The 14,121-nt window shown below is 44.7% G+C and overlaps 1 protein-coding gene across 22 annotated transcripts in view, besides 4 other annotated features; it reads right to left on the reverse strand.

Moving 5' to 3' along the window:
- Window positions 1-13,819, reverse strand: part of OSBPL3 (oxysterol binding protein like 3) — a 185,309-nt gene extending 171,490 nt beyond the window's left edge. For 13 of the 22 annotated variants that reach the window (XR_007060001.1, XR_007060007.1, XR_007060005.1 and 10 more), the window contains exon 1: window positions 11,860-12,152. The gene's annotated coding sequence lies outside the window, so the exon portion shown is untranslated. Of the gene's footprint in view, window positions 1-11,483; window positions 12,153-12,279 lie in introns of those variants that run through there. The other 9 variants (XM_047420146.1, XM_047420134.1, XM_047420131.1 and 6 more) reach the window with 5 other exon arrangements.
- Window positions 3,330-3,985: an enhancer, noted in NCBI's record as "H3K27ac-H3K4me1 hESC enhancer chr7:25010975-25011630 (GRCh37/hg19 assembly coordinates)". NCBI's record gives its function as "activates a minimal SCP1, AML or CMV promoter by ChIP-STARR-seq in naive H9 embryonic stem cells {active_cell/tissue: H9 hESC(naive)}" and the evidence as "EXISTENCE:reporter gene assay evidence [ECO:0000049][PMID:30033119]".
- Window positions 11,542-11,751: a silencer, noted in NCBI's record as "silent region_18021". NCBI's record gives its function as "represses an Ori minimal core promoter by ATAC-STARR-seq in GM12878 lymphoblastoid cells {active_cell/tissue: GM12878}" and the evidence as "EXISTENCE:reporter gene assay evidence [ECO:0000049][PMID:35858748]".
- Window positions 11,802-12,311: a silencer, noted in NCBI's record as "silent region_18022". NCBI's record gives its function as "represses an Ori minimal core promoter by ATAC-STARR-seq in GM12878 lymphoblastoid cells {active_cell/tissue: GM12878}" and the evidence as "EXISTENCE:reporter gene assay evidence [ECO:0000049][PMID:35858748]".
- Window positions 13,452-13,621: an enhancer, noted in NCBI's record as "active region_25762". NCBI's record gives its function as "activates an Ori minimal core promoter by ATAC-STARR-seq in GM12878 lymphoblastoid cells {active_cell/tissue: GM12878}" and the evidence as "EXISTENCE:reporter gene assay evidence [ECO:0000049][PMID:35858748]".
- Window positions 13,820-14,121: the final 302 nt, after the last annotated feature.

The raw sequence follows: 14,121 nt of genomic DNA on the forward strand, positions 1-14,121 counted from the left end.
TATATATTTACTTGGAGTAATACATTTACTTGGAATAATATTCAAAAGGTATAATTTCAACTTCACACCTATCCTGCCTTCCGTTACCCCTTCCTAGGACAGTCTGATGTTATAGCAACCTCTTGTATAATCTTCAAAAGATATTTTATATTTTTATATATACAGTGAGTACAATTAAATGTTTATCAACCAGCTCTCTGGAAAAACAAAAACAAAAATGTCCTCATGTGTTATGTTTCCTGATTTCCATGGTGTAAATACTCCCACTGTGGCTGGCTTCAAACTACCAACATGAAGTAATCAGCCAAGGGCTTGGGAAGTCACGCACAGTTGGTTCCCACATGCCGGTGTAAACTGGCTTCAGCACACCAGTTTTTTTGTTTTTTTTGAGTCGGAGTCTCCCTCTGTCACCCAGACTGGAGTGCAGTGGCGTGATCTTGGCTCACTGCAGCCACTGCCTCCCGGGTTCCAGCGATTCTCCTGCCTCCACCTCCTGCGTAGCCGGGATTACAGGCACACACCACCACGCCCAGCTAATTTTTTTATTTTTAGTACAGACAGGGTTTCACCATGTTGGCCAGGCTAGTCTTGAACTCCTGACCTCAGGTGATTCGCCCACCTCGGCCTCCCAAAGTGCTAGGATTACAGGTGTGAGCCACGGCGCCAGCCTCAGCCCACCAATTTTATCCATGTGTGCATATATGCATGAATATATGTCCATGTGTATATGCATACTTTCATATAAAATATATATTATATATGGATATTCTATACTTCACTTTTTTCTTAACTTCACAATAAATCTCACATATCATTCCATATCAGAAAATGTAGAGCTGCCTCATTTTTAACGGCTCTATTATTTTTAATTAGTACTTACTGATGAAAATTAAGTTACTTGCAATCTGGTATTTATTCAAATACTCCAAGAAACAATTTTGCATATATATCATTTTGTGAATTTTGCATATCTGTAGGATAAAGTTCTTAGGACTGTTATTGCTGATTCAAAGAGTGCATGCATTTCCAATTTTGACAGATACTGCCAATGGCTCGCTACAGTTTGGACCGATTTACATTTCCATCCACGATGTATGAATACCTGTTTCTTCAAAACTTTGCCAACACTGTTACCACATTTTGTGATGTCTGCCAACCCGATAGGTGAAAAATAGCATCTCAATGAAGTTTTCATTTGCATTTTCTCTTTTTATGAGTGAAGTTAAAGTTTTCATATGTTTATGAGTCATCTGTATGCCATTTCGTGAACTATGTGTTCAAACTCTTTGCCTTTACAGTAACTGGCCTTTCTCGTACTGATTTGTTGGAGTTCTTTATATATTGATAAAAGTAGGTCTTTGTGATATGCATTGCAATTATTTTCCTAAATGTGTTGATTGCCTTTTGACATAGTTTTTAAAAATTGACCCCGCAAAAATGATATGTAATCAATAAATCAATCTTTTATTTTATAGCATCTGGATTTTGTGTCCTATCTAGAAAGGATTTTTCATCTTATTATTAAAAGTGTATTGTATTTTTTTGTATTTCTATTTGTTTTAAAGTTTTGATCCATGTGGAATTTATTTTATTTTTTGCCTGATTTTACCAACACCATTTATTATCCCTTGTGGAATCATCTTTGCCTTCTCCCTCAACCCTACTCCCAACCCCTAGTTCCTAGGGGCTATCATTCTAACTTTCCAGTATTTTGATATTATTTGTCTTTTTTCTCCTCTCACTGTGACCATCCCAGTTCAGGTCTCATCACTTTGTGCCTATACTCCCAGCCTCTGCCCTTCTCTGTCACCACCAAAACACTTTCTGCTAAGATAGCTCTTACCGTGTCACCTCCTTGTTCACTGTTTACAGCATAGTCTTTGGAGTTACTATGGGATTTAGGACTTATACCACTTGGGCCCTAATCTACCTCTCCATTTACTTTTCCCATTACACAGTCCTTCTCTTCATCAAACCGGATAGTCCACCAACTCTTAAAATGTCATGCCTTGTTTCATCCTAGCTAACCTACCACTTCTGCCTAGAATGTCCTTCCTACCTTTCCCTTCGTCCCTTTCTTTTTTTTTTTTTTTTTTTTTTTGAGACGGTGTCTCGCTCTTGTCGTCTAGGGAGTGCAGTGGCACCATCTTGGCTGACTGCAACCTCCACCTCCCCGGTTCAAGCGATTCTTCTGCCTCAGCCTCCGAGTAGCTGAGATTACAGGTGCCCACCATCATGCCCAGCTAATTTTTGTATTTTTAGTAGAGACTTGGTTTCACCACGCGGCCAGGCTGGTCTCGAACTCCTGACCTCAGGTGATCTGCCTGCCTCAGTCTCTCAAAGTGCTGGGATTATAGGCGTGAGCCATCGCACTCAGCCCCTTCATCCCTTTCTTTATCTCAATCCCATGTGCCCTTCAAGATGTGTCTCAAACACTCAACTTCTCTGCAAAAGCATCTCCCTCACTCCTCCTGAGCTCCTATAGCACTTTAATATCTTGTTTATATAAGTAGAGAAAAGATGGATCAATATATAGAGATATAGATACAGATAGATAGATATAAAAAACACAATTGTAGAGAGAAGGAGGAGTGCTATAAACATATATATCCCGAACTGAAGTGAATATTCTTTGAGGTCGGGGCTGTGGCTAATTAACATTTGCCTGCTCCCTACTTCTAGGTAGCACCTTGTACATAATAAATTGTTTTTAATAAAACGAAAATGTCTGGGGCTTAAAACGTTAGTGTGCATCATAATCACCTGAAGGGTTAAAACCAGTTTTCTGGACTCCACCCCCAGAGTTTCCAATTCCATGGGTTTGGGCCCCACCCAAGTTCTGCTAACAAGTTCCTAGATGACACTGATACATCTCCTGGAGTCACACTTTGAAAACCACTGCTTCAGACCGTTCCTCAAACCTCAAAGTAAAAGCCTTTAGAAAACCGGGGCAAAATGTGTCCAAAAGTCTCATGGACAAGAAAATCCTCTCAAACTGGGTGTCACCTAGTTATGTATAGATTTCATCCTGTCTACCCTGTCCAGCTCAAAGAGGCAGTGGCCCAAGGCCCCAGAGGCAGGTACCACAGGAACTACATCCATCCTCTGATCCTCGGACTGCCAGTCCAGTGCTGTTCAGCACACAGAGGGGGTCTCTAATCAAGGGCTTGGCAATAGAGGCCGAAAGACCTGACTGTACCCCAGTTCTGCCACTTGCTGTGTGCGTGATCATAGGAAAACTACTTCGCCCTCTCTAAGCCTGGATAACCAGGGTTCTTTGGGTGGAAGCAACAGAAAACAATTTGGTAAATGAAGCCAAAGAAAATGTATTAGAAAACAAATCAGTTCAAGGAACTAAGAGGAGGCTGGAGAGGCAAGCCCGGGCACAGCTCCGTGGAATGGAAAGCTACACCACAACAAAGCTGTATGCACAGATGGTCTGGCCATGACACATCTCGCAGCAGACTCTCCATGACCCTCCCACACCCAGAGTCCAGAGAGAGGCATGTGACTGACCTGGCTCACAGGGCCACAGCTGAGGGGAATGGGGCCCCTCCTTCTGGTCCCAGCAGACTATATCCAAAGGCAAGAAGTGACTTCTCAAATGGAAATCAGGAAGGGTAAAGGGATGTTGGAAAAACCAAACAGCAAGTGACTGCTCGCTAGCCTCTGTTTTATCAGTGATAAACTGGAATGATAGTAACCACTTCCTAAGTGATAAGATCTAACGAGGTAGCGTAAGTAAAGCACTTAGCCTGGCACATGGAGAGCGCCCAACAGCTACTGGCTGCCACTGTTATCACTGTTATTCATAATTACCTCCACCTTCAAAGGAAGGATGGTTTCCCATTCCCTAATAGCTCCAACAAGCTCCGAAGGAAACCTCAGTTAATTCTATATATGCCAGGAATTTGCATGAAGCAGCCCTACACCTGAGAAAAACCCAAGTGGGCTTCCCTGTATTCTTTTAGGCTTCACATACCCCTAACCCACTTTGCCTCAGATGCCAGACAACTAAGCTACACTAGAATCTAGCCAGCAAGTTATTTTAAGCTACATGCAGGGCTATGCTGGAGGACAGGTTGCTAGATATCATTGCGTTTCTGCTATAAAGGTGTTAAAAACTCAACTTTGGATTCAACTCCCATTAGCAAATAAACAAACCTGTGTGTCGCATCAGAGAGAGAAATTCAAAACCTCAAATCAAAAGAGGAGTTAAGGCCTCCTCCCACTCAGTTCTACATGGCCTCCAGCAATGGCAGAAAGACACAAAAGGGCAGGACTCTGCTCATCTCATCCTCCTTTGAGGATTCCCCAGCCACATTCTCTTTTCTCTTCCTTCAGCAACCTGAATCACAACCTACAGAAAAATGGAACCTTTCTCTCCAGGGTCCCAATTAAAAGCCAGACTCATTCCCTTTGAGCCACATCTCCCCACTGTAATTAATGAATTCTCTGCAACTCTTTAATGTCTATATCCCCTTCTAGTCTGTAAGCTCCTTGAAGGGAGGTTCCACATCTGTTCAATTCATCGCCACATCCCCTGCACCCAGCCTGGTGTCTGGCACATGGCATGTGCTTAATAAATATTTGTGAAACGTATGAGCAAAAATCTTAGCGCATGCTTTAATTCTAGGGAGGCATCTACTTCAAATTTAATAAGAGTTGCTGAGATTAAAAAATATATACATACATAAATATACACACACATATATATACATATATGTAGATTAAAATATATATATTAGCTTTAGCTTCTAAACATTTCAGATGACTGTCCACCACAAATTACTTGGGGAGGGAGAAATATTTGTTTTATAAGATGTAAACTATAATTTTAAAGTTCTTGTAACTATTACAATATTTGATATCAAGACAGGAAACCAGTGTGGGAATCTTTACAAGTACTACATTTTAATACATATTTGGAGAAATGTTACATTGAGGAAAGTATCTGACCCACACAATACTAAAAATAAAGATTTTAGTATTTTAACTGTAGAGGGTAAACAAAATAGCAAACTTTAGTTATAGTAACTGTCAGAGATCCTCTGCCAATCCCACACTGGATTGCTCATTGCAATTTGATTCTGCTCTGCTTTACATTTAAGCTATTTTTTTAACTCAGATCTACTCTCACACAATCTCAGAAATCACAGATGAAAATTCCACTAAGATTGTTCATCCAGCCCACACCCACTCAGAGAACTGGGCTGATTACCTCAGATATTTTTTTCATAAGTAAACACAGACATATAGACAGCAACATAATTTTCATCTAAAGAAACTTTTATGAAAGAAATTTGCTTCTTGGCTTTAAACCCACACAATATTATTATTATTCCCTAAGAATCATATTCCACTCATACTCAAGGGGTCTTGGAGCATCTAGAAACAACCATATTCTGGCTCTCAAACAACAGACTTAGGTAGAGGCAGTTATAAACCAAGTCCAGAGAAAATTCAATTTCAGGGGTACAAACAATGTGGCTAAGAACAAGGAAATTACCAGTGAGTCTTCTGTATTTTTCCAAGATGAAGGAAATATATCACCAACTTCAAAACAAAATCATTTAGATTAATAACTAAAGAAGCAATTCTTCACACTGCTATTCCATTTATTATTATAAAAGAATTTTTAAATGTTCACATAGCTTAAATAAGCCCAGGAATGATATTGGAAGGCTACAGCCTGCCTGCACAAGCTTCTGCAAAGAAGCATCTTTGAAAAAAATCAATATTTCCCAATCCTTTCATACCAGAGGAATCCTTTATAAAAAATATTATACTCCAGACTTTAAAAAAGATGACTTTGATATTTCTAAACTTTTTATGATGAAAAATTTCAAACATGTACAAAAGTATAGCACTGCACTGCCCAGCTGAAATGTAATAGGAGCCATAGATGTAATTTTAATTTCTTAAGTAGACAAAGAGTAAAAGAAAACAAGTTAGTTTTAATTACACAGTATTACAATATATTCAAAATATTATCATTTCAACACGTGATGTTTAAAAATTGAGGTATTTTTACATTATTTTTCATACTAAATCTTTGAAACTCAGTGTATGTGTTATCCTACGGCGCTTCTCAGTAAGGACTAGCCACATTTTAAAGGCTGAATAGCCACATGCGACCAACGGCTGCCTGGCAGACAGCACAGATAGAGAATTCATCACCCAGTTTCAACGATCGTCAGCTCACGGACAGCCTTGTTTCCTCTGTACTCCCTCCTCACCCCCAGATTATTTCAAAGCAAATCCTAAAAACTGTAGCATTGCAGCCATGTTCAAAGTTCCTTGACTCTTTTTAACAGTTCGTTTGTTCAAATCAGTAGGTAAACCATCAACTATGAGGACCTCTTTTTAACGACAACACATTTTGCTGACTGCAACATAATAGGAGTTACACTTTTAGTAAAATGCTGCAGTCATCTGAATGTTTATTACGCATCTATCTTGTGCCAGGTTCTGTTCTAGCCCCAAGATAAAACAGCGAACAGGGCCCAAAGGAACTTCTGGACTACACATTAGGGTCACATTAGAATCAAACTTTTTTAGAAATGCCAGTCCCGTCAGCTAGCAAATAGATAAATAAAACCGTGGTATATACATACAATGGGGTATTACTAGGCAATAAAAAGGAATGAAGTACTGATACATGCTACAACAGAAATTAACCTTGAAAACAACATACTAGGTGAAAGAAGCCAGACACGAAAGGCCACATACTATATGACTCCCCTTATATGAAATGTCTAGAATAGGCAAATCCATACAGGCATAAAGTAAATTAGTGGGTGGGGATTAGGGGAATGGACGGGCAGTATGGGGAATGACTGGTAATGGGTGCAAACTTTTTTAGAGGGTGATAAATGTTTTAAAATTATGGTGATGGTTGCACAACTCTGAATATACTAAAATCCATTAAATTTTGTACCTTTAAACGGATGACTTGTATAATATGTGAATTGTGTCTCAATGGTGAGTGGTGAGCTATGAGTCTAGACAGGGAAGCAGGAGCCAATTCAGAAAGGGTCTTTCAAATCTGCTTTAAAATGTGAAATATTCATTGATCCATAAAATATTCACAAAAATTCCATTTGAATTCCATAACAATTTTAGTACATTTTTAGTAACAGCATTACCGTAGATATGAAAAAATAGTACATAACATAGGCAAAATATTTATTCTACAGACAATGATTACTACATGTGTGAATTTGAGATCTCCTTGCAATATCTCCTTGGTCCAAAGATGAGAGCAACCAGAACAGGTGCTTTTCATGGACTTAACAAGGAATTCTGTTACTTCGACATAAAATGATGATGGCATATTCTATTGCTTCATCATAAAATGATGATGGCATATTCGTTGTTTCATCATAAAATGATAAAATACTGTGGATCAAAACAAATCAGAAAACTAGAAAACAAAATGTCACATTCCAATTAACTTTTCACAGAATACTCTAACAAAATTTAAGCAAATATAATTAATACTTTTTTCAATTGAGCAGTTACTATAGATAGGACACCATGTTTAGTGATGTGAGGAATAGAAACCTAAGGAATACACACTCACCCTGCCTTCAAGGCATTTAAAATCTAGTAAGGGAGGCAATAAGTTTGAATACATTACTAGCACAGGAGGCAACAGGGTGAGAGGAATAGGGGAAGATAAAAGGTAAGAAGTGCTGAAGGAAGGAAGGACATCAGCAACAGAGTTTGTGATCAGAAACTGAACTGGGAAGTTTCTCATATTTTAAAAAAACAAATGATCTGGGAAATTGGGTTTAGAGAGATTATGCTGACAAAAGCAGTTTATGAGTTCAGCTTTGAAAGACTTAGGTTTTCACACGGAGAGAACAGAGAGCTTTCTAGGCAACAGGAGTGCATGGACAAAGGCAAAACGCTTTGTTGATTAATAAAACTCAGACTACCAGCTCACAGGGGTGGGGAATGATAGGATGAGGCCAAAGCTGAGCCCAGTCTGCTGGATCGTGACTTTAGGCTAAGGAATCTATATGCAAATAAGTAGAGAAAATAACTTGGGGATTGAGTCTGAGATCCACCATATGTTAGTTGCAAAGCAGTTGTGAACTTAACTTTTCCTAGCCTCATCTGGAGACTGGAGATATAATAACAATGCCTGCTTTGATATTGCCCTGAGGATTAAATGCAATAATGCATGTACAGGAACTTCTGACAGCACCCGGCACATACAAGTTCAGCACCTATTACTACTGTTATTAATGTTATTATTCACTATGTAAGCCACCCAAGAATTTTTAACAACATAATGACAGTGCTTAAATAATTTACCTGACCATGGAAAAAACAGAGACAGAGGTAGGAAAACCCACCTGTAGACAATGTTAGGACAGAGTGCATAAGTCCCTAAGACCCTGAACTAAGATGCTGCAGGGCCTCCAGGAAAGGACCAATGTGAGAGACACTGAGACAAGAGTTAGGGTGAGCCTGAAGGTGATCTGAACAGTAGTAATTGGAAAGTCAAAAAAAAAAAATTCCAGAAGGGGCCAGAAAGCTGATGAATGTGTAAATTTAGACAGGAAAGGAATGTGCAGAGAACCATAAACAACTCTCAATTATGCATGGAAGACTTTTTCCACCTAACAGTTTCCATCTTCCCTGGTATCCTACACCTCAATCTCTTCCTCAGGCATTCTAGGTTGCAGGGTTCTCCAACCCTCCCTGGAGTACTACTGAAATAGAATTAACAAATAGGAAAATACAGTACTGCCGAGAAGCACATTATAAATAAAACTGCATTATCCAGACTCTTATGCAGGGGGAAATGTTACACCAGCACCCAAACTGGAATGAAGTGGAAGAAAGAAGGAATCACTAATTCCTTCCCCATCCTCTGTTTTGCCATGAGCCCCTTAGGTGGTACCCATGCCACTCTTCCCCAACTTCTCACCCTCAGTGTCAGCGTAAGAGTAGAGAGTTGAAATGTAGTTGTTTTACTGAAAGCCTACTGCAGGAGCTTTTGGAATTAGTAGCAGTTTCTAACTCTCTACTCTGCATTAGAGAACAGAGGAACTAGCTGGCTTTCCAGCGCTTTCTTTAAGAGGTATAAAGCATTACTGTTCAGGGTTCATTTACCACAATGGGTAAAACAAATCAGATTTCTCTTTAGATTTAGATGAAAGGAGGATTTCCTTTCCTTCTGTATTAAAAGTCCCCAGTCTATCAGGCCCACAAACCATAAACCCAAGCACAAAAATCAATGGCAGTAAGAGTCTCAGGGATTCTGAAAACAGTACATCTAGACACTTGATATCAGCACCAGAAAGTTTACAGCCCAATCTCAGATGGTTTTAATATTTGTATCACTGGATTCTATCATGAGTTAACATCTAATTAGTGGGGCGAGAATTGAAGTCAGACTATTAAAAAATCTAGCTCAGCAATTTACTGGTGACCTTAGGCAAGTTCCTAAACCTCGTTTTCCAATTCTTCACCTGAAAAATGGAGATAACCTCACAACAATGCCCAGCAAGACGGTGAAAATTAAGCTTACGGGCAGGGCGCGGTGGCTCACGCCTGTAATCCCAGCACTTTGGGAGGCCGAGGTGGGCAGATCACAAGGTCAGGAGATCGAGACCACCCTGGCTAACACGGTGAAACCCCGTCTCTACTAAAAATACAAAAAATTAGCCGGTCGTGGTGACGGGCGCCTGTAGTCCCAGCCACCCGGGAGGCTGAGGCAGGAGAATGGCATGAACCCGGGAGGCGGAGTTTGCAGTGAGCCGAGATCGCGCCACTGTACTCCAGCCTGGGCGACAGCGTGAGACTACGTCTCAAAAAAAGAAAAGAAAAAAGAAAATTACAGCTTACTGCAGCCTGGGAGTATCTGGCTTATGATGTAACTATTAACGATTACTGAAAATATATCTCAATAATAAAACAGTAAATCTTTTGGCTAAGCCATAGCTTTTGATACAAATAAAGCTAAATGCCTATTAACTAATGGTGGAAACCACATTTTAGTTTATTCGAAGAGGTCAAGCACAATAGAGACAAAATGGGCTGGAATCCTAGTTCTGCCAGGATAACCTTGGCAACACAGGTTAACCTGCTGGACCCTCAATTTCCCATCTGGTTAAAAATACCTAGCTAACAGACTTCTGTAAGTTTAATGCGGTAATGTACAAAAGTTCCTAGTATTGCTATTTGTTAATTTTCCCAACAGTAAAAAAAGGATAAAGATGAAAATCAAAATCAGCTATGAAATCCTCATTCCTCATATTTACAGAGAAGGTTTCATTTATTCATTCTATAAATGTTTACTGCAAACCTACTGCGTGTTCTTGACACAGGGGATCAAGTGATGAACAAGACAGACAAGGTCTCTGCATTCCTGGTACTTACATCCTAATGAGGGAAGGCAGATAACCCAATAACCCAAAGAGACAATTTCAGAGAGAAATTTAAGTGCTATGAGCAACAGCAAACGGGTGATGTGGCTTGGCTGGAGGGGATGGTCATTTAGCTTGGATGCATAAGAACCTAGGCCTGCTTGACTGATCTCCTTTAGCCAAGTATAGTCCTTTAGCCAAGGACCTCACCTTGTATGATACTTGCGGGGTACAGTGCAGATGATGAGAAGCCAGGCCTTCGCTTTCACCCATCTGTGGAAGTATCTCTTTTGCAGCTGTAGTTTAAAATATTTCTAAATGCCCTCATCCCAATACTCAAACTCTGAGGGTCAGAGCAACACCTAGGGGGTCTCAAGCACCTCTGCGCAGTACGCAGACACATGGAAACCGACAACTTCACAGTCCCCTCAGCTCCAAGAGTCCCGACTGAGGAGACTGGTGGCTTGTGAGGCGGAGAAGGACAAGCACAAGTGTGCAGAAGGCAGCAAGCAAGTTGCGTTGCCGAAGGAAGGGCGGCGCGCCCCTGCTTAAGAAGTATCTGGACGACCTGCGACAGTGCCCATCAGCGACTCCAGAGGCCACAAACGCTCCCCGGGAAGCTGGGCAGCGCTAAGAGGCTGCCTGGGAGTTTCTGGCTTATGATGACAGTACTTAAAGAATTTACCTGACCACGGAATAAACAGAGACAGAGGTAGGAAAACCCAACTGTAGACAACGTTCAGACAGAGTGCATAAGTCCCTAAGACCCTGAACTAAGACGCTGCAGGGCCTCCAGGAAAGGACCAATGTGAGAGACACTGAGACGAGAGTTAGGGTGAGCCTGAAGGTGATCTGAACAGTAGTAATTGGAAACTAACAAAAAAAAAAAATTCCAGAAGGGGCCAGAAAGCTGATGAATATGTAAATTCAGACAAGAAAGGAATGTGCCCTGGGCCTCCAGCCCAGCACCGGGGAGCTGAGCAAGCCGGGGTTGGGAAGGCGGGCGAGCGGAGCGCCTGCCCCGCGAGCGTTGTCTCAGTCTCTCCGGCGCGCCCCATCCCGCGGATGTGGTAAAGCTTCGCGCTCGCCCCAATTTACCAGGCTTCCTGAGCCTCTAGCCCCGGCGTAGCGCCTCCCCGCTGCCCAGGACAGCTCCGCGCGCCGCGTCCTCCCGCACCTGCGCCGCGGCCCCTGCGCTCGGCTCCTCCTGGCGGTCAATCCTCTGAGCCGTCCCTCGAGGGAAGGTGTCCTGGGGTGGGTGAGACCCGGGTCCTCCTTCCCCGGGAGCTGCAGCCGGCACCCAAGCTCCCAGGCTTGGGTCTGCCCCAGGGCCGGAGCCTCCCCGGGCGACTCGGACAGACCCCGGTCCGGCAGAGAACCGCGGCGCCCCGCAAACAGCAGCCCTTCCGAGCCCGCGCCGCCGCCAGGCCCCCCGACACCCAGGCCCCATTTAGGCGGGCGCCCCGCCACTCACCTGAGCGCTGTGCAGCCGGAGACGCTCCCTAGTTCCCCGGGGCCGGGCTCCGGGGTTAGCGCACAGAACCGGGAGAAGGCAACCCCGGCTTCTCCGGTACCCCCGCAACGTGCAGCTGACAGCTCCCGCACCGGCCGCAGGAGTCGGGGGCGGGGATGGCCACTTGCAGACAGACTGCGGGGCCGGAGCCGCGCTGCGCACCGGCCGCGAAGCGCTCAAGTCCCCTCTCCCGGGCCGGCTGGCGGGCGCCACCAGCACGCGGCCAGTTCTGAGTACTTTGCCCAGAACTTCTCGGCGCGCGCCGCCCGGCGATTAGCCCGAGGAGCCGCGCAAGGGCGGGAGCGCAGGGGAGGGGCCTGAGAGGCCCAGGGGCGGGGCCCCGAGGGGGCGGGAGGGCGGCAGAGTGATGCACAATCTCACCAATCAGAAGTCGCCTTTCGGGAAGGAGGTGGGGCGATGTCCTCGGAAGAAGCCAGCGGATTCCATGACGCGGCGGGGGAACTAGGGACCCCGGATTCCGGATGGGTTGGGAGGGCGGAGGGAGGCGAGTCCTGCGGCGAGGCACTGGGTGGGGCTCCCGGTGGCCCAGCTCGGTGCCTGCGCGCGGTAGGCGTTCGGTAAATGTTCCTCTAGTGGCTTTTCCGGGCCAGGGAAGGAGGAAAAAGTGAGGGCAGCGCGGGAGGGGCAGGTTTACGGAGAAGGCTCCAGGGGACCCTTGCGGTCGCACAGGCTAGGAGAACTCGACCTCCCGAGAAAGTCAGACTGTGGCAGAGGAGTCGAGAACAGAGGAAATACATAGGGAGGCAGCACTCTAGGCACGAGATGACAAAGGACAGCATCAGTGTGAGACCCGGGGCTCGGAGACCGTGACCCTACCTCCAGAGGCAGTCGTGCAGATTCGTGCCGGGGTGATTTTGTTCTGTGCAGTTTATGTGCAAGGGGGTAGGAGGTGGGGAGAGCACCGTCGTTACTATTAAATCTCCCTGAAAGACGGAAAAGTCCACCCGACTTGACTTCCCACTAGCCCAATGGCCTTCTTTGATCCTAGGACGAATGCAAGCAGCTGATGGTTTGGGGTCAGTTTGCAGACTGCAAATGTGTCGAGTGCCGCAGGTGGCGGGTGGGAAGGGCATGAGCATTTAGTGAGCACCTAGTATATGCCAGGAGCAGTTGCGAGCTTGCAACTGTGAGAAAGGCGCACCAGGCTCCAGTACTCACGGGGCTTGCATTTTTTGTGGAAAGACAGACAATAAAGAAGAGAAAATACATATCTATGCAAAAAATAAAAGGCTGACAGACTGTTAGTACTGAGAGGAGGGCCAAGTCCACTTTCGAAAGTGGTTTAGCGCGTGATGGGGCGCTCACCCTGAGGGCCTCTAGGCGAGGGTGGCTTTTACCCAGATTCCTGAGCCTGGGAAAGGAGCTGCCACACCCAGTCTCGCACAGAGCGTTCCAGGCGAAGGGAATAGCAAATACAGGGTATTTAGCCTCCCTGAAGACCCAACTAACCGACCTCACCGAGCTGGGCACCGCGCGTGGCTCGCTGGGCTCAGCGCCTGGGACGGAGTAAGGGCTCCACAGTGTTAAATCCCCCTGCCAACCACCACCTGCAGCGCTCGACGCATTTTCAGTCTCCAAACTGACCCCAATTCAAGGTTTCTGAGACTCTTTCCGGAGCTATTCTGTTCACATTTCATTCACCACGCTCAGATCTTCGCTTTCTGGAACCATCCCCCTCGCGAAATGTCTGGGACTGTCTGTTTCGGATCTGGCAGGCGGCGGGCGAGGGCGGGAGGCGCCAGAGATGCTGCCGAGCAAATCCACTGTCATGCTGCCCACGTCGGCACACGGAGAAGCTTATTGGAGAAGATTTCAAATCGAATGACTCCGCGGTTCCTAAACCACCTCGCAAAGCCCGACCAGCGCCAGGTGGCTGGACGGGTAGTGGAAGGACGCGTCTGGCAGGCGCGCGGACCGTCCAAGGAGGCACCTTGCCCACGCCCAGCCCCGCCGTCGGAGCAGCTTAGACTGGGTTTTCCCAAACCTCCTTCCGTCTTTCTGTAATTTCTCTCTGAGAGAGGCTTGCTCTGTCCTCCTCCTGCCAGTCCCTTTCCTCGTTCAAGCTATTTTCTTTCTTTTTCTTTTGCTCTCCACCTTCAGCCTCTCCGCCTGTTTCTTTAGCATTGGTTTTTCTGTAGGAGACAAGCCTTCAATCCGAAAGGAAGTGATTTGCATAGGGCTTTGTTGTTTAGCATCCCGTTC

This window comes from Homo sapiens, chromosome 7, assembly GCF_000001405.40.
Source record: "Homo sapiens chromosome 7, GRCh38.p14 Primary Assembly".
Lineage (NCBI taxonomy): Eukaryota > Metazoa > Chordata > Mammalia > Primates > Hominidae > Homo > Homo sapiens.